This window comes from Homo sapiens, chromosome 11, assembly GCF_000001405.40.
Source record: "Homo sapiens chromosome 11, GRCh38.p14 Primary Assembly".
NCBI lineage: Eukaryota > Metazoa > Chordata > Mammalia > Primates > Hominidae > Homo > Homo sapiens.
Window position 1 is genome coordinate 115204680 of NC_000011.10, and position 18812 is coordinate 115223491.

The 18812-nt window shown below is 39.3% G+C and overlaps 1 protein-coding gene across 13 annotated transcripts in view, besides 2 other annotated features; it reads right to left on the reverse strand.

Moving 5' to 3' along the window:
* Positions 1 to 18812, reverse strand: part of CADM1 (cell adhesion molecule 1) — a 335180-nt gene that overhangs the window by 35444 nt on the left and 280924 nt on the right. For 7 of the 13 annotated variants that reach the window (NM_014333.4, NM_001301044.2, NM_001301043.2 and 4 more), the window contains exons 6-8: positions 13213 to 13312; positions 9929 to 10101; positions 4895 to 4978 (exon numbers count right to left, since the gene is read on the reverse strand). In NM_014333.4, the coding sequence (NP_055148.3) occupies positions 4895 to 4978; positions 9929 to 10101; positions 13213 to 13312 (357 nt within the window). The remainder of the gene's footprint in view (positions 1 to 4894; positions 4979 to 9928; positions 10102 to 13212; positions 13313 to 18812) is intronic. The other 6 variants (NM_001098517.2, XM_005271494.4, NM_001301045.2 and 3 more) reach the window with 1 other exon arrangement.
* Positions 4141 to 5340: an enhancer, noted in NCBI's record as "MED14-independent group 3 enhancer chr11:115079540-115080739 (GRCh37/hg19 assembly coordinates)". NCBI's record gives its function as "activates an origin of replication core promoter dependent on BRD2, BRD4, P300/CBP and CDK7 cofactors, and independent of MED14, by STARR-seq in HCT116 cells {active_cell/tissue: HCT116}" and the evidence as "EXISTENCE:reporter gene assay evidence [ECO:0000049][PMID:35650434]".
* Positions 17861 to 18669: an enhancer, noted in NCBI's record as "NANOG-H3K27ac hESC enhancer chr11:115093260-115094068 (GRCh37/hg19 assembly coordinates)". NCBI's record gives its function as "activates a minimal SCP1, AML or CMV promoter by ChIP-STARR-seq in naive H9 embryonic stem cells {active_cell/tissue: H9 hESC(naive)}" and the evidence as "EXISTENCE:reporter gene assay evidence [ECO:0000049][PMID:30033119]".

The window sequence follows — 18812 nt, forward strand, 5'->3', positions numbered from 1 at the left end:
CCTAAGGAACTAAAAACATGTGTTCTGGTGTCAAGTTTCCCCACTTGGGCATATTCTATACATATCACTGAAGGATAAAGGCTATACCCACCTTCTTTATGTGATCCAATCCACATTACACAAAACAAAAGCTTATGATTTCAGACTATGAAAGCCAAAAATAATAATGTGGGCCTGGGGGTAGGAATCATTTGCTACAAGCTATATTGGTTTTTGAGTACTTAGATACCAATAAGAAAAGCCTGGCTATTTTCTTTTCCTAGGAACACAAAATATTTAATTGGGTACGTACTTTTAAAAGGTGGAAAACTCATTTAGAAATGACCTACTTCATTCTTATGAAAGGATTTTTTAATGTGTTTCACAATTTGGCCCTATAGCTATTCATTTCTTATTCTAAGGTGGTTTTAATTTTTTAATTTATGACAGTCACATGTCTAGTGTGACCTCCAGGTTGAACTCCTCCCAGCCTGAATTTTCTCTGTAAGTTGCTAAGGGTATTTAAAACTGAGTGTGGAGTCCTTTCTATGATATTCCTCATCAAGCATCTAACTCAAGATGCAACCAGGTACAAACAAAACAACAGCCACGCTAACTAGGAAGGGAAACACAACATGCTTTCCTGAGATGATTACAGGAAAAAGTTTGATCCAACTGGAAGACAGGGGCTAATACTATCACAGAAATGGGTAAGTTTATGTACACCTAACACACAAAGTCAACTAATTACAAAGAAAGTTAAAAACAAGACAGAACAAACACTCCCTACTCACTCACACTCCCCCACCTCCTCCCGCCACCCCAGCATGGCATCAGGGTTTTCTTCTATTCTAGTTTTTGACAGGAATCTGTGTGAAGGACTCTTACCCGGGGTAATGGCTGGCTGTCTCCACTTTTTCACAAAGGATTCCAGGGACAATTTAAATTATGCAATTTATGCTTCCACATGACAGCATATGTCTTCATGAATGAAACCACACGGACAATTTGACACAATAAAAAAAAGGAACAGGGGCTTGCCAATAGCAATAGTTGAAACAGAAATATATGGTCAGACTATCAATACACAGGAAAGAAAACAGACTCCAAGGAACCTCGTGGCAAATCATAGTGAGGCTCTGAATGGCTCCCAATCTAAAACTGTTTTATAGTTGGAAAAAAAATTTAATGGTACTATAATGGCTTAATGGTTTTAAAGCCACAACAAGTTGATACGGCAAGTTGACATCAAATACAGATGCTCCTTGACTTTCGATGGGGCTATGTCCCAATCAACGCACCCTAAGTTGAAAACATTGTAAGCTGGAAATCCATCTGAGACACCTAACCTACCAAACATCACAGCTTAGCATAGCCTCCCTTAAACATGCACAGGACACTTACATTAGCCTATAGTTGGGTAAAACCATCTAACACAAAGCCTATTTTATAAGGTGTTGAAGATCTTATGGAATTTATTGAATACTGTACTGAAAGTGAAAGGCTGTATGGGTACGGTTTCTGTTGAATACGTATTGCTTTTGGACCATCCTAAAGTCAAAAAATTGTAAGATGAACCATCATAAATCAGGGACTGTTTGTATTCCTTTCAGTACTTTAGAGACTACAAAAATTTCTCCCTAGATAAGGCCACATTTAGATGTGTGCCTTCACGTGTAACTCTCCAGACCTGCTCCGTGTAGGGTAAGCAGGAGGCAGAAAACGCCCTGTGCTCCCACCCATGAGGGGTATGATTCTGGGTGGGCAAAGCAGAGTCCGATTTGGCTTATAATTTTTCTCTCTGAAGGGTCTCCACGATGAAGCTTTAACATGTTTCAAGGAAGTCAGGCGACTCAGAACAGAATGTCAGTCTGCCTTCCTAACAAGGGGAACAATTTGATTATCCTGGTTACGGAAGATAAAAGATAACACTGGAACACTTCCTTTCAGAGAAATCAGAAATCAACTATGACTTCTCGAGTTTAAAAATATTTTTCTATTGCATGTGTACATTTTTCTTGTAATGAAACCCTGACCTAGGGAATGGGTTTCAGTTATTGCATTTGACTGGCAGAAAAGAAATAGATGACTGTGGACTTCTTTTTTTTTTTTTTTTTTTTTTTTTTTTTTTAAGCTCAGGCTTTATGTTACTGTCACCGAATTTGGCTGCTGCAGCTTTTAAGGCTAATGGTGGCTGTAATGTACCAAACAGTGCAAGAGAGAAGAGGAGTGGAAATTAATTTAGCTATCCATTTGTCAGGATTCAGACTGGAAGATTTTTTAGGAACTAATCTAAATCTAGGGGATAGCCTGGACCTTTAAAATGGGACACAGAATCATTCAGCTGCATAACCTTTAATCTGTTTGGAGAAAGGAGCAAATGTTAAATTCTACAAGTGTACTTTCTGGGCAAGATAAATATATATAAGACTGCTTGTTAAGACACAGTAAGCCTAGAAGATCACATCCATTAAGGCAACGAATTCTACAATGTTGTGTTAGTAGCAATTTTAGTTTAACTACTCTTGGGTGTGCCAGTGAGATTCTGGGCATTCATTACCACAAATGTATTTTGTGCGCAGGGAGGACTCAACTGCTAACATCAAGAGGCTAAAGTGCATCTATGAGATCATCTTACATTACCTTGAGCTGAGAGTCCAGTAGCAGAGAGACAGAAGCAAAGACAAGTTTCTGTTAGAGGTACCTTTGATGTGGACAGAAATAGAGCATTGTTTATTTTTTAAATTTCCTCTTAAATGGAGTCTCTGCAGTCGGAACTGTGATAACAGTGAGTTGTAGCTGTTTGAGGACATAAGATTAGCTTTAGTCTGGAGTGAAGGATTAAGAGCTGTGAACTGAAGCGACTCTGCTGAGTTGCTGAGATTGATTGTGAGGGGGAGGAGTTCAGCGAGTGCTAAGAAAGGTCTTAAAAAAAAAAAGCATAAGCTAGTGAGAAGGCCAGCCGCAAATGAAAAGTGTTGTTCCATATAAAAGAGAAATGTGGTTGTTTATATACCACGTGAATAAGGTCTCGACTGCCTTAAAATGTAAACCTGGATAGCTACCTAACTGGCACCTTCTAGAATGAGTGGTAATAAATGCTGGCTCATACCTGGGCAAGTTCTGCGAAGATAAAATAGACTGGTGATATATTTTCTTAAAGGGTTAATATATGTAGGGCAATGGAGAATTACGCAGTATATTTTACACTAGTATCTAAAGGGCACTTCACAAGAGTACGAGTCTAATTTGGCTTACGAACTGGGTAGCAGGCAAGAAATGTGAAAAGGTAAAAACCTAGTTCTTAGTATGAAAAGCTGATAGCACAGTTACTCTGGAAATCAGAGTTAGGAAGAAGCATCTTTGATATGCTGGTGAATAGTATAGAAAATGGAAAGAATCAATTCACTAGGTCAACAAACTGAGTTTACTTAAGTTTACAGAAGGAAGTAACAAAGAGCCAAAACAGAAACACACACAGACAAGAATCTAGGAAGCAGCCTGGTTGGAGCTGAGTTTAGAGTGAGACATGAAAACCAACTGATGGATTTTCAGAAGATTTTAAATTAAGTGCTGGCACTGATGGTTTTGTAACCAATGTTGAGAAGCACTGGCTTCCTTAAGGGTTCTTTTTTCCACTGTAATGGGTAGAAAAGTGAAGAAAACTGAGATTAGACAATCTGTTGTATATTCTATCAACTGATGAGGCCTCCTCTTTCTTTGAACACTCTGAATTTTCATCATCTCTATCTTACTGACTCCCATGAAAATTGGAAATGTCTCTAGCATGTCAATGAAAAGGACAGCAATGATATCTAGGGTGTTAAAAGGAGCTGACCATGAAGGGTGGGGAGTCAAATACTCAGTGTTCATAAAGAAGTCCAGAGACAGGGGTGGGTACCAGGGCACACGGTTCAGATACCTTGCAGTCTCACCAGCTAACAAAATGCAGCGGAAAAGTTACTCTTTCAAGAGATATTTTTTTCTCACAGAATAATTACTTTCACATGTTTTTGTGTTAAGTCCCTGTAAACACAGGTTGGGAAGGCCTTATCTAGGGAAATCCTTCATGTCAAGTGGACATAGTGTGGCCAGAAGCTTTCCTACTTAGGTAGGCAGAAGAAACCCCATGGCTCCCAGACAAGCCACATCAAGCAGTATGAGAGAGCCACTGGATGCCAGGAAGGGCTGGATGGCATGCCACCTCCCTCAGTGACAGAAACAAGAGACAGTAAAACTCATGCTGAATAAGAGTTTCAGACAGTCCAAAAAGATAAAGCCGCAGAGTTAGAACCACAGTGGCTGCCTCTTCCACTCTTCCAATATGTGACCGAGGGCAGGGAGGGGCACATGAGTGCTCAGCATGGAAAAGACAGTGACTCCCTCTGATCTCTTGTGACTACCTAGGCAACACAAACAGGTAGTATCACTTGTCAGCGGGTACTCTCTGGAGCAGGAAGGATGACTATGCATTTAGTAGCATGGCCCAAATAGGCACATTGAAGTTAGGTGTGTATATTTTCCCTTACATGGACTGAGATGAAACTAAGACAGAGACAAGATTGAAAGCCACAGTACTTACCATTTCATCAAACATGTCTAAGCAGAAGCTATAGGCGTGTTCTCTAGTAGCCAGCTGCCATTTTCCCTAGCATTTTGCTTTCAATAGTGATGCTTAAAAAAGAATTCTTTTATGCATAAGCTGCAAAATATCTGACGTACTGTTAAATGCTGGGATGTTTCTGAGGTCCTTAAGATTCAACTTAAGAACATAGTATCTAATGTCGTTGGAGTTCCAAAATAAAGGAACGATTAAATTCCAAGGATTTAAAGGGAACTTTTCGGCTTCTTTTTATACATACCAGAAAGACAATATACATTCAGGACATTTTCAATGGTAATGAAGATACCATACCTGTGATGATGGTAAGGATGGTGGTGGTGGTGGTGGTGGTGGTGGTGGTGGTTGTTGTGGGAGGAGGGATAGTTGTGGGGGGATCTGGATAGAAAAAAAAAGGAAAATCAAACCCACAATGCTGAACACAACAATGACCAGTAATGACAAAACAAAGGCATGAGGACATTGAGATGTTTGTTTGATGGCTTCCCCCTTTAAAACCAAAAGTTCTTTCCCTGCAAGATTTATGTCTTGTAATTATATCCCAAAGCCTTAGTTGGAAGAGCTGAGAAAAGAAGAAAAGAGAATTTTCATTAATGAAGTGAATTAGGGATGAGGAGATGTGAAGAGAGGGGAGGAAAAATCAAAACATACGACACCCCTCTTCCCTACCAGATTTCAAAGGTGAGGTTAAATCAACTCAGTACCAAGAGGGTACAATGGTTGTCATTTCGTTTCAGCTTTTACAGATGGCAGGAAGGAGGAGGAGGAGGTGGTGCTGCTCTATTAGGGGGCTCATATCAGCCAAGGATGAGCGTGCCCCTGCACACTTGCTCTCTGTGACTGTTAACTTCATTATTCTCCATCAATACAACCCAGCAGGAAGTAAAACTACTTCTCTACTCATAATAAATACAAAGAAGAGAGAATGTCACCACTAAATATCAAGTTCCAGGCATGTGAGATTTTACTGAGATTTTATTCTTTAAAAGTCAATAAATTTTACAACTTATAAATATTAATAAGTTGCCTTTGCTCATATTAAAAGCTTGACCTAAGTAGACTACAGTGATAAAACTGAAAGAACGTTTTCCATCTTGTAAACAAGAGAACTAAATATAAATGAGACTCGACCTTCAAAGCCAGGAACCTGATAGGGAACCCTCTGTCAGATATTTGATATACTGTATATTCTTCTATCATCTCAAAAATTATTTGGAGACAAGGGAGGGGCAAATATGAAAGAGAAAAAAAAATTCTAAGCCCAAATGATCAAACTGAATGTGTTAAATTGTCAGCAAGACTTTGAACTAAGCAATCATTCTGCTATAATAGAGCATAAGACGATTTGAAAGCTTTTGATTTTAAATTTTATCTAAAGCATGTCAACTTTTTCTCCCTGACACATCTGGTGTCCTTTTATCTTCAAGTGAGCTCTCAGATTGTCTAATTAATACATCAAAACTTTAATTATATACTGCACCTTTATTGGGTTTGGTGCAACTTCCCAAAAGTTTATAGAAATATTATTTTGGTGCTTGGTTGCAAAGTCTACTTAAAATGATATCTACCATCGATCAACAATCTGAGCTTTTAATTTTCCTCACAAATTGCTTCTCTCACACAAACACACTTGGATGAAATTAACAGAGAAGAATCAACTGTTCTGTTCAATGGGAGGCTCCGTTCCTTTAAGATGGGGATACAAGCAGTTTACACTTTCATTTAAAGCAGCCTCACGTGAGTCCAAAAAAGGATGTCGTTTAAAAAAAATCTCATTCTCCTCCAAGAGGTAAAAATGGTTAAGTTAGTGATTTTAAACTACCTTTTTAAAAGAAAGGCAGAATGAGAAATACGGTGATTCAGGCCATGTGTTCAGTCTTGCTCCTTCACACTTTTTATGGAGGCCACAGGTAGGGAAGCATTTTGTGACCTGGAAACTCATTTGGATGCACCTACACACCTGCTGCAGGTGTCAGCATAGATATAAATGAACCAAGTGCACTGACCCCTGAGCCCAGCACTAAAGACGTCCCGCTCCCTCCACTACACAACTAAACTATATCCAGAGAGGTGCCTGCTGCCCAGCACAGGGTCAGTTAATGTGATTTTTCTGTTTTGCTTCAATTACTATATCTACTACTGAAAAGGAACATTTGTTCCTGGGAGATTTCCCCTGATATACTATAATCCTATTTCTTTTTTTTTTTTTTTTTTTTTTTAGACGGAGTCTTGCTTTGTCGCCCAGGCTGGAGTGCAGTGGCATGATCTCAGCTCACTGCAATCTCCGCTTCCCGGGTTCAAGCAATTCTTCTGCCTCAGCCTCCCGAGTAGCTGGGACTACAGGCATGCGCCACCACACCCAGCTAATTTTTGTATTTTTTTTTTTTTTTTAGTAGAGACGGGGTTTCACCATATTGGCCAGGCTGGTCTCAAACTCCTGACCTTGTGATCCACCCACCTCGGCCTCCCAAAGTGCTGAGATTACAGGCGTGAGCCACCACGCCCAGCCTATAATCCTATTTCTGCACCTATTCTAAAAGTGTTGACATAAAGTGTGTGATGTCCACAATACAATAAGAGTAGATCTGAAGGTGATTTGAAAATATGATTATGAACCAAGGGGTGGACCAGACTAATGAAGACACAGACTTCAGAGAAAGGTCATCAGTCCCTCCCATTTTGTGCAAATCACACACTTTCAATTATCTTTATCACGACTGGGGCAACTGTTGTCCTTCACATCTGGCTAAAGTGACCTGAAAGAATTAGATTCCTTTAACAGGTAAAATAACTTCAGTGCTTAGATCATTTCTAGCAATAAGAGCAATGTGAGGCCACCACTTAAGAAAGTACAGAGTTGGAGTTAATGAGCTGTGCTTGACATGTAGAGGCTAAAAGAATAAAATCAGTTGGGGCTCAGGCACTAACCAGCTAGATTCTTCATGTGTAGAAGTTGCTTCTAGAGAGTTAAACTTTATGGGGGCTTGCTAACTTTTAGTTCATAAAATACTTCCAAAATTATGGTAGTAATACAACAAATCAGCTTTGGAAAGAAAATCTACTCAACACCTTCCCAAACTGCTAGAGTATTTTGTTAGTAGACTAGTAATACCTTAGGCTAATATTCTAATCTGTCATCCCAAGTATTGTTACTAGGACTGATTAGGGGAGATAGGTAGTATATTACAGATCTAGCAAATCCCTAGACAAGGATAGGTGTACCATCTTGGATTAGGGAGACATGTGTATGTAGCTGTGTCTGCCTTTAACAGGTGGATCCCTATATTTCTTGGTTTTCAGATAATGCACTCTGGCCCAGACAGTTAATTCTAAAAGGATCATCTCATATTGAAGGGGATTGTTCTACTGGAAAGCAGTGAGAATAAGAGAATATACAAAGAAAGACATACTTTGTTGTGGACTTTAGAGCCAAAGTATTTTGGTTCTAAAACACATTTAGAAACCTGGTGAAGTTGGGGAAAACTGTACAACCTTTCTGAACTTCAGTTTATCATCTGTAAAATGGGATCGTGATAATGCCTGCCTCCTGGTGTTATTGTGGAGATTAAAGGAGACCATGCTTGGAAAATCGTTACCATAGGGCATGGAATAAAGTGAGCACTAAATAAATGCTAGCTATAAACTACTATCCAAAATTATTCAAATATATCTGTCCATCAAACCCACAAAATGTTTCTTCTCTTGAAATGTAGGGGCAGTAAGTACAATAAATCAAAACTGTTTATCCAGATAACTTAGTGTTCTGAATCAAGGATGCACATAACAGACTAATGGAAATTTGTCACTGCTTTTTATAACCTGCAGTTTGTAAAGAGCTGGACTGAAAGCCAGTAAACCCGGGCAACAGCAATGTCGGGGACTCCCATGAGGCGCAGGCCCTTGTGTGAAGAGAGCACATGCAGAAAAAGGGAGGAATGTACTTTTCACCCCCGCCGAGCAGTCTGTGGAAAGAGGTGGCTCTGCATATCGCCAGCTGAAAACGGGCCATGCTGTGTCCCCTCTCACCTATGTAGAAAAGCTGTTTGCTTCACATGGATTTCCTTAACTACTGGGAGAATTAATGTTATTATGTGTGAACAGACATAATACAACCACGGACAACATTGGTAGTGCGTAAAGATAAAACATACTTCAGAAGTCTACAAATAAGGTGATTAGATGTGATCTTTTAATTTTGCATTATGCTAGGAAAAAAACCTCAGGTATAGGCTAAGGATTATATTTTAATATCCATGCAGATATGGTGTAAAGCATGCTTCTATTTGATTAAAAAGACTGCCACTCCTATTTTCTTCATAAGCAAAGTACCCTGGTTCTAAGACACTGTGGTGTGGATATTTCAAAGGTATAATTTATGTGTATCTAAACATTTATTCATATATACTTATATTTGGATTATTTACACTGGTAACATCAAGAAAAAAATACCCCCTTCACACACACACATTCAAATATTTATAACACATTGAAATGCCGATGCCTCTGGTTACTCATTCTTTGTCATGTCAGTTCATGGCTATTTTTTGGCATATGAGGCTTCAATTGAACAGAAGAGACTTAATTTGATATTATAAAACTAGAGAGGAGGTGCACATCTCAACTAAATAGAAAATATTCACCATGTGCAAAATCAACAGTAAGTTATAAACAGGAAGTAAGTTTAAGATGCCTGAAATGTAGTAGATGCTCAATAAATATCTGTTGACTAGAGAATAAAATTCATGATGTTTTAATAATCCTGTAAAATGATATTAAAAAAACAGACACATTTTTTAAAAAAGCTTTTGTTCTGAAGCAGTAGCTACAGGTGGTTCATGTAGCTACAAGGGACCTTGTATTTGTTCTGAGTATTTACTGGCTTACAACATCTTTTGGAATTAATAGCTTCATGCTGAAAATAGAATAGTTCTGCTCATCAAAGCAGGAGAAAGCTAGCCCAGGTATCATAGTAAAATACCACTGGGAATAAACTTTCTGAGCTGAAAAGCTGCTAATTGGTAAGGCTGAATGTTTCAGTCATTACTTCTAACGTAATCTCCATGGCTTGTGCCTGAGGACACAGCTTTCCTTCTCAGCATGACCAAAGACTGTGATCTAGTAGAAACACCCACCATTAGAGGGAGAGAAGAAAAGTCACTATCCCAGGTGGAGACACTAGGGTCCACCTCAGGCCAGGCTTCTTTAAGTTCTAGAAGGAAACCAACTGGTTTTTGATTTTCAACTTGACCAAAAGCTTTGAGAGTAAATCACAAGTAGCAGCTCCATGTGACTGACTCTAGTAGAAGAGCATTTTATCTTCTCACGTACCGTATACATACAGCATATAATCCGAGTGAGCTTTCCCCACTATGTTTGAAGCTTCACAGCGGTATGTACCATTATCTGTTTTGTTTAGGTTATTGATGAACAGGTTGGGCCCAGACAGTACGGCGTGTTGAGGCATTTCATCATCGACTCTCACCCAAGTTACCATCACAGGCCTGCAGGGGGAAGGGGAGGAAGACAAGTCACATTATCATTCCCCATTGCATCAAACTGCTCACCCACATGCAGGGTGACACAATTAATGAGGACCTACTGGAGATATTTTAAGTTCACAGAATTACAACTGTGAAGTCTCCAAAAATCTGTTTGGTATACAATTTTTTTCTTTTAAACACGATCAGGTGTTGAAAAACTTTGAACAGACCACAAGCAGGAGTCTCATTATTTCCAATTCATGTTCGACAAATCAACAAATAAAACAGTGTGCCTATTTTTATGCCCCGCTGTGTGGTTTCACACCAACTCAGGCAGGACAGACCTCACCCATTGTTAACATCTCATTAATTAGGAAAGAAATCAAGTTCTTGGCTAGTGATACATGCATTCATCTGATGGTTACTAACACACCAAGACTTGTTTAGAAGCCTCTTGTGATATTTAGATGGATTTTGAGTTTCACCAAAAGGAATGGACTTTTATATCTGAATAGTGCTTTTCTTGGGCCTCTGTTTGAAAAACCACCTTTGATTCTGGAAAGATGTAATCATTTCCTCTTCCCTTTAACCCCTCCCCATAACCTGCATCCCCCTACCCAGAATGCCACCCCTGTCTCTGATGCCCTAGTCCACCATGTCTATCTGTTCCTTGGCAAATTGCCTTCTTTACTGGCTCTCCAAGGCCTGCATATTGTGAGAACTTTCCCTGTGTGTGCACCTGCAGCTCCCCAAGCTCGTGGGTAGGGCTCTCAGGCTAATCACCATGGCATGCATTCCACATGGATCCCTTAGGGCCCAGGGCATTTGCTCATCAGAGACAAGTTTGTTTTAGTGATTTAAAGTGCCACATTTGTATCCATCAGGAAAAAGCAAATTTCATAAGATTCGCCAAAGCTAAAAATGCATACACACCAAGTATCTTTTGAAAACTTCCATTCTTCAAGGCACTTCCCTCAACCTCCTATGAAGTTGAGGCCACATTTAGAATTGTGCCTGAAAACTTTCATTTTGAAGGAAGGACAACAGAGATCCAGCACACAAGTGACTTCCTTCCAGTTCCTACAGCTGCCTCTAGGAGCAGCGACACGACAAGAGACCCATGCTTAATGATGAACGGATCCTCAAGTTAGCCCTGTCAAGTAGCATTCCAATTTTCAAATGGGATGTGAAGTTACAATTTTTCTTTAATTACACATGGGTTTGTCATCACAACCCAGTAAATTATTTAAAAATTAGTACTGCATATGTCCTCCTTGTAGGCAATGGCAAATGGGCCTGCCTGGCAATCAGACGTAATGTCCTGCTGCTTGACAGCTGAAACAATCAGTAGGGGTAACTGCTGAGAATCTTCACAACATTTAATGGCAAGTTAAATTACCATTTTTATTGTATGCAATTTCTTGAGAAAATAAATAAGTAACATGCTAGAAGGGGTAGCAGTAGAGTAATGTGAGCTTGCTCACACAACCATATACTGGTTCCTATTTGAAAGGAACAAACAAATCCCTTCTCTGGCATAAATGTCCTGAAGGAAACATGTAATTTACTGTCCCCGTGGCACATTCAATTGAACGAAGTACCTTCTTCAGGGGAAAAATACAAAAACAAAGTATAGGTTAGCAAGCCATAGACTGTAACTGTGGTTAATGTGGCCGAGCACGGGTATTGCAAGCGGCAAGAGGCCTCTGAGAATTTTTTTTTCTTACTCCATTGGATTATTCTGGAAGAAAGCTGCTAATTAGGGAATAATTCAAACTGTTTACAAAAAGAAAGATCTGAATCTTTGGCAGTGCTCAAACGAGAAAAAGATCACTCTGCTGAAGCTCGAAGCATTCAAAACCAAATAACTTGGAAACACCAGAGGGAAAGTGAAACAGAACCAAGACCACTTTCCAGCTCCTAAAGGTCATTTAAAACTCCACATGGTTAGCACAGAGGGAAGGAAATTCCAGCACATGGAGAGGTAAGTGCAAAGATAGGGAGGGTTGAAATGAGAAGAGAGAACCAACAGCAGGCAGAGCCCCCTTTGGCTTTCTGGTCTCTTGTCATAGATCATTCCTTAGTTAAAGTAGGGAGGCTTCTTTCCAGAGATTTCTGGGGAAGCTTTGTTAAGATGCTCTGAATTCTTTATATGAAAACTGTGATGACGCTGGCTAGCAAAACTCTTTGAGGGAAAAAACAAAATCATACTACGGGGACAGCAAAGGGAGCTCAATGCTGTTTTTTGTTGGGTACCACTAAAGTTTGAGCGTCCTTAATCCCAACATTGACCTATTATTCCATTTCATGAATCCTCAACTTGTTTTTTTCTTTCCCCCACTAAGGAACAGTTAAAAACAATCTTTACTAGAAACACTAAAGAAGTGTCCCCTGCCCAGTAAGTAAACTGAATAATAGTTAAAATGGTACCACTGTGTGGCTTTTTTTCTTGTATTAGTGATGATATATGTAGTTCCTCAAATTCACTTTGGATCATTTCACAGGGCAACTCAAGTGGCTCCTTTATACTTTCAATAAAATAAGAGTCTTAGTTGTTTCTTCTTTTTCTCTTATGAAGTGGCATATATATCCTCCTTAAGAAAAGTTCCTGAGCTTTTCCTTACTAACAAAAATATTTCTGGGAGTCAAGTATGAATGACACTTTTCTTTGAGGGAAGAAGATGCAAAATTAAAGGTAGGGCAAATTCATTTGCCTACAGCTGGCCCTAAACATAGCAGCTTAATGTAAGTCTTAAAACCATCTTTCTAGCAGCTTAGACATTAACACAAAAGGTGGCAGATATATCATTAGATTGTAGGGACACCAATAATTTATTAGGATTATTTTTTTGTGTGTGAGAGAAAATAGTCCTGACAATCATGTTGATAATAATAAAATAGAATTAGCTGAGATTTCAATCTTAGCGGGCATTTAATTTTTCTCCCAGTCCTGACCATTAAGAACTATGGATATTTATTTCCACTCTCACTGAATATTCTTTAGTTCCTGAAAAACCATCCATCCTTTGCAGCAGGAGACAGGTGACAGGCCAAGGACTGGTGAATGCACATGTCTGTGTTGTGACATTTACTGCGCATGACCCTCTGCCAACTTTGGCCTTCAGAACTTACTGGGGCTTCCCGATGGCTTCACATGTTAACTCAAGCGCGTCCCCTTCCCGGGTTAAGCCTTGTAGAGGATAAGTCATCTGAATGTGCACTTGAGGCTTATCTGTGTGACAAAAACACAAAGTATAATGTTTAGCAAATGATATCATCAGGCAAAATCAGACTCACACACTGCCTCAAAACCACAGTACCAGCACTTACTCTCTCCCATCCGATGCCTTCAGTAACACCCTTCTAATTAGTTGGTAATCCTGGCATTTGCTCAAATTAAATTGACTAATAACTCTAAGGAGTGAACCGCAAATAGATAAGAGATTCATAAGCCAACTGCGCCACATCAAACATTTCCTGTGAAATACATTTTGTTACACTGAAGTTTATCTCCAAACTCACTCAAGCTAAAGGAAACTCATTTGCCTTCATGCTGAGGTGAAGCCATAGATATCTGTGGTGCTCAGAATTGATACATTTTATCATATATCATATATTACTATGTGACAATATGTTGTGACACTGCATGTTAATAAATTTGCCTCTTCTATGTTCTTGTTTTCAAATGAGAAAGGCAGACTGAATGACTTTAAGAAAAAACAACTGGGATATTTTGGAAGCCCTCCCAGTGAAAACTCTGACATCTCAGTGTAAACATTAAAAAGAAAAAATACTGACATTTACTCAGCATCTACTCCCCTAGGAACCATCATTGGGGGTAGAATAAGCCTAGTTTTAGGGATGGGAACTCTGGTACCCACAGATTGAAGTAGCTCATCCAAGATCACAGAGAGAGAGACAGCCCCATAAGTGTATGTTGGGATAGATTTCTGATCCATAAGTGCATTTCCAATGGCAATCCATAATTAAAGCCAGGTATAGCTTCCTAATGCAGTGAGGTACTTAGGAAGGAGATATAAGTATTCTCATTTCCACCAGCTACTTAAAACTGTATTTGTCAGTGTGGGGATATGGCTATGAGAGCTGAATAATGGGAGGTTCAGGGAATAGGGAGGGAAGCTACAGAAGTTGGAATTAACATAGATACACATACAAATACATTAACAAATAAAATCTGAATGTAATTAGGAGATCGTTTTTTTCAGTGCTGAACTAACAAGCTATTAATCCCTAAATCGGTTTTCTCATTTAATTCTGTGGCTCTGTAAATGCATATTTTTGGAAATGTACCCAAGAGTAATAAATGTGAGAGGGCAAGACATCGGTTGGCTGAAAGGTCAAAATAATTACCATAGTTTTACTTTCTCAGACAATCATACCACCTAAACAACAGCCCCTTGGCCTTTTACAAGCTGTGGTTAGCTCATTAACATTCATCCTATGGAATAAGGGAGAAGATAGAAATATTACGGCAAGGCTCAACCAATCTCATCTTGTACACAGCTATATAAGCTGCACAAGGAAGTCCTCACTAGAGATAGCTGCTTTCTAGATGCATTCTTATAGTCTCTTTCCTATCACAAATCTTTCTCTCATGTCTCTAAAAATTACATGGCATTCAAAACCTTTTAAGAGAGCCCCCTTGTTCACCCACCAGTGTGCACTGCATACTGAGAATTGGTAGTGCTTTCTGAGAAGCTAAGTCTCTTGCCAGAGAACGTAAAGTTAACAAGCCCAGAAGCTCCAGCTGACCCTTGCAAGTTACACAGTTCTATTCTTGGACACGTTGGCAAAGAAACTGTTTAAGAGCAAAATGGTGTTGAGGTTTCCAGATACTGATAACTGGGTCGGGAAGGTAGTCATTAAAGAAAAGCAGAAATGCTTGTAAAGGATAAACAGGATGACCTTGAACCAGCACTGGGTGGCTCAAGAGCTCCTGGGCACCCCCTTTCAGAGACAGAGGCCACATATTAGGCTAACTACAACTGCTGGGCATCAGGTGTGGGTTTATTGTTTGTAGTCGTGTAACACACACACACTAGTTAGTGAAGTTTAGTTTTTAAAAAAGATACAAAAAAAATGAAAGAAGAAGGTTATGACACTGGACACACAGAAAACAGAAGACCTGCTACCTCACAGTTCATACCCAGAAACAGCAGCACTTACTAGAGTTCCTAGTTAGGGGACCTCTATCATTCTTACCCATGAACCTTCTGGGTGAGGCTAAATTTAAAGCCCAAAATTTGGGCTGAAATGTAACATCTGCTTATAGGTTAATCTCTGATCTACAGAAAGGCTACGTTTTTCATGCACTGCTGACTTTGGCCATTAATTAAGAAGAAGCAGAATGCTTGCTGGCCTATGTGGAAGGATTTTGTTTTTCTTCTTTTTTCCTTAATGTAATTTACAAGCAAACAGAGAGGGCATATTTTTCAGCATAGTGCACTAAGGATTTTACATGCTCAACTTCCATCAATAATAAAGACAGTGTTGAAAAACTTAATCCACCCTGCTTCTTCAGTACCACTGAGTTTTAGTTAAATGCTTTTTTATGTTCCTAATGAGCTGTTTATCAGTTGCCAATTATTCACATAAATTGGGAAGAACAAGCTAAGGATTTGTTATACCCAAAATTTATTTTAAAAACCATTTACTAAATCACAAAAAATACACCTTCAGTTTTGATAACTGATTTTCCCAATTTACTCTTTAAGTTCTGGAGAAACATCTACTATCTACTTATGGCTACAGCTGCCACAGTTACCGTAATAGCTGGCTGAAAAGGTAAGCGTTAGTCTTGCCTGCATTATACAGAAAAATGTTCCCCTCTGTTGACACATGCAGTATTTATAGGCATATTATCTGACCACGGGCAGATGAGCTATCCTCTCGCCCAGCCTAGGAATCAAATATTATAGAAGGTCTATGTGCCGAGATCTATCCCTGGGTGATGGAAACTTAAAAATAAATTCTGTTCCCCTTCCTTTGTCCTGAAAGAGAAACTTAAGCGTTTTCAACAGGTGGAATAGAAACCCTGGGATTCCACTGGCACCTCTAGAACTAAGGGACATTAAATTTTCCATTGAAGAGCCTAACTACGATATGAATATGTCAAAATACCAAACAATCCAGATGGCTGATTGAATAGCCCAGAGCTCATCATTTATATTTTAATTATGTTCATAAATCAAATGTTATAACCCACCAAACCTTTTCTGAAACAGAACCAGCCTCCAAGATTTATTTTTAAGTAATGAGGTAAAGCCTAGTACATTTTCTGGGGGATCATTTTACGCCTCGGTTGGTGTTGTAAGGCATGAGGCCAAAAGCCAGACGATACTTTCTACCCAAGTGCAATAACTGCCCAGAAATGTATCACTCAGAATGGCTTAATGTCATTATAAAATGGAACTGCTATATAAAAATAAGAAAAATAGTTAGGTCTGTACACTTAAAGAACATTACAGTTATAGACATGGCATCATCAACAGCCAATCAATTAGGTCGAGGGATCTGAGGTTTTCATAATACACTGTGAATTTTTTTAAACCCTGTAAAAGACATTTAGCAAGACTGCTATAGCAGACAAATTTGTTCATTAGTCAAAGTTGCACAGAGGGTTAAACACCAGGAGGCTTTAGGTCACACTACAGTAGCAACCAATTAAAAAAATAATATTAGAAAGACATTCTGATTTGATGAGACTTTCTTTAAATGTACTTTGCTCTCTCTATAAAGGGAAAAAATATATAAAAGGAAACTCTTAAAGAGGTTGGAATGGGTTGCTGGCAGATTACAATTGATTTCATGCCAGTCTGACCTTGCACCACATTCTGTGATCTTTTCAGAAGATGAAACTCAAGATTCTGAACCTGTATTTCAGTTTCCTATGTAAATGAAAAGACACAGTCTCCTCTGTAGGTCCAAACACTAACGTATCAGGTCTTTGCATTCCTTTATTTAGAAAAAGGTACTTTGCAGTTTCTTCATGACTGGGATGTCACCCTTCCAGGGTAGCAGAGAGGAGCAGAGCTGAGTCAGTGGAAAAGGCATCCTCATACCCTGGCAGGAGACATGCCAGCGGGAGACCTATTATCCCTGGAGTCCCCACAACCTTCCCTCTCTTCCTAAGAATTTCTAAATCAGGAAATGCAGGTGTCATATTTTCTTTGATGTGCTCAATGCAACTAGGTCCAGGGGCTTGAGTGCAAATCTGTTTCTGCAACTGCATTTGGGACACAGGCTCTTCTTCATGTTTCTTACTTAGATTTCACCCAATATTCTGAAACACCAAGGAGTATGGGGATTTGATGCTTGTGGATCAAGTGCTAATTGTTTCAAGTCCTACCAGGGAGAACTCAAGGGCAGCATGAGCACAGATGATATCAGAATGTCTGGGTAGCGGGTCTGGGTCAGCCCCTGTGCATTCAAGTGAGGAAGCATTGACTGAAGAGTCTTTGTCAATCATGGAGGATTATTGGAGTTTGGAGTAGAACGACAATGCAAAGATTAACCTGAGATTTGGTGAGTGTTAGAAGCTGTTTGAGCTCAAAGCAAGAATCAACCCCTACAATATGGCTGTCTAAATTGTTGGGGGAGGACAGCTTTGCAACTAAAGGAGGGCAATGTCTAGCAATGCCAGGTGACTGGGATTGGTGAATGAACGGAGTCACACAGAGCTCTCAGAGGAGTTAAAGAGAACATCTTGCAAAATATTTGCTTTCTATTGTCATAATACATTCATGAATAATTTTCACTGCCGTTTATTTTGTTTGTTTGCAAGGTGAAGAACCTCCTGCTGTTACATCTGTTGTTATGACTCATAGTACTGAAACTGGGCTTCCTGAAGAGGGCTGAACGATTGTGAGTGGGATGAGTCAAATCTGGTGGGACTGACGTAAGACCAATACCACAGTAGAATGCAGTCTTCTCTTGCTGCAACTTTCAGGTAGGTTTGTGGGTATTAGAATTACTGTTTACAAAAAAGAATCAAATTTGATCCCATGGTGTGGTGGCAGAAAGCTTTGTTCCCACTGCTTTTTAAATGGGGGTACATACTCACAGAATATTCTTCCATGTCTTGGAAGCAATTCTCATCATTTGTAAGCAAACACTGGGCAAGAAAATCCCTATAGCAAGATTTTCTGTACAAGAATCTTCCCTCTGTAACAAGAGAGGGGTTTTTTTGTTTTGTTTTGTTCTGTTTCTTGAAGTCTTGGTAACTAGAACGGTGCCAGGGACTGGCACACAGTAAGCATTCAAGACATAGTTGCTGGATGAATGAATGAAGGAATAAGTGAATGAGAAAGTGAAGAAACATTGGGGCATGGACTTCTCCTTCCACCTTTACTACTGATTAAAAAATAAATAAAATCAGATCACGAGTTCCCGTTAGTCCTCATCACAGAATATAATTTTGTTTTTCTTTTGGAAGGTCAATCCAGCCGCCCAAATCAGAGGTTCAGCCCAGGTGTTCTGCTTTACATATTTCCACTTCACCATACATTTATTTAGCACTTCCGATGTGTCTCTAAGTGGTGTCTTACAGGAAATCAGAAAGGATGTTGTTTGACCATTCCTTTTAGATTTTTAGATGCCAGCTTCACAACTATTTAACCTTCCACACAATCAAAATTTAACCTTGAGTTAAAAACCATTAAGTGAAGTATGTGCATTAGAAGACTGGTTTCACTATGTAAGTATTCAATGTC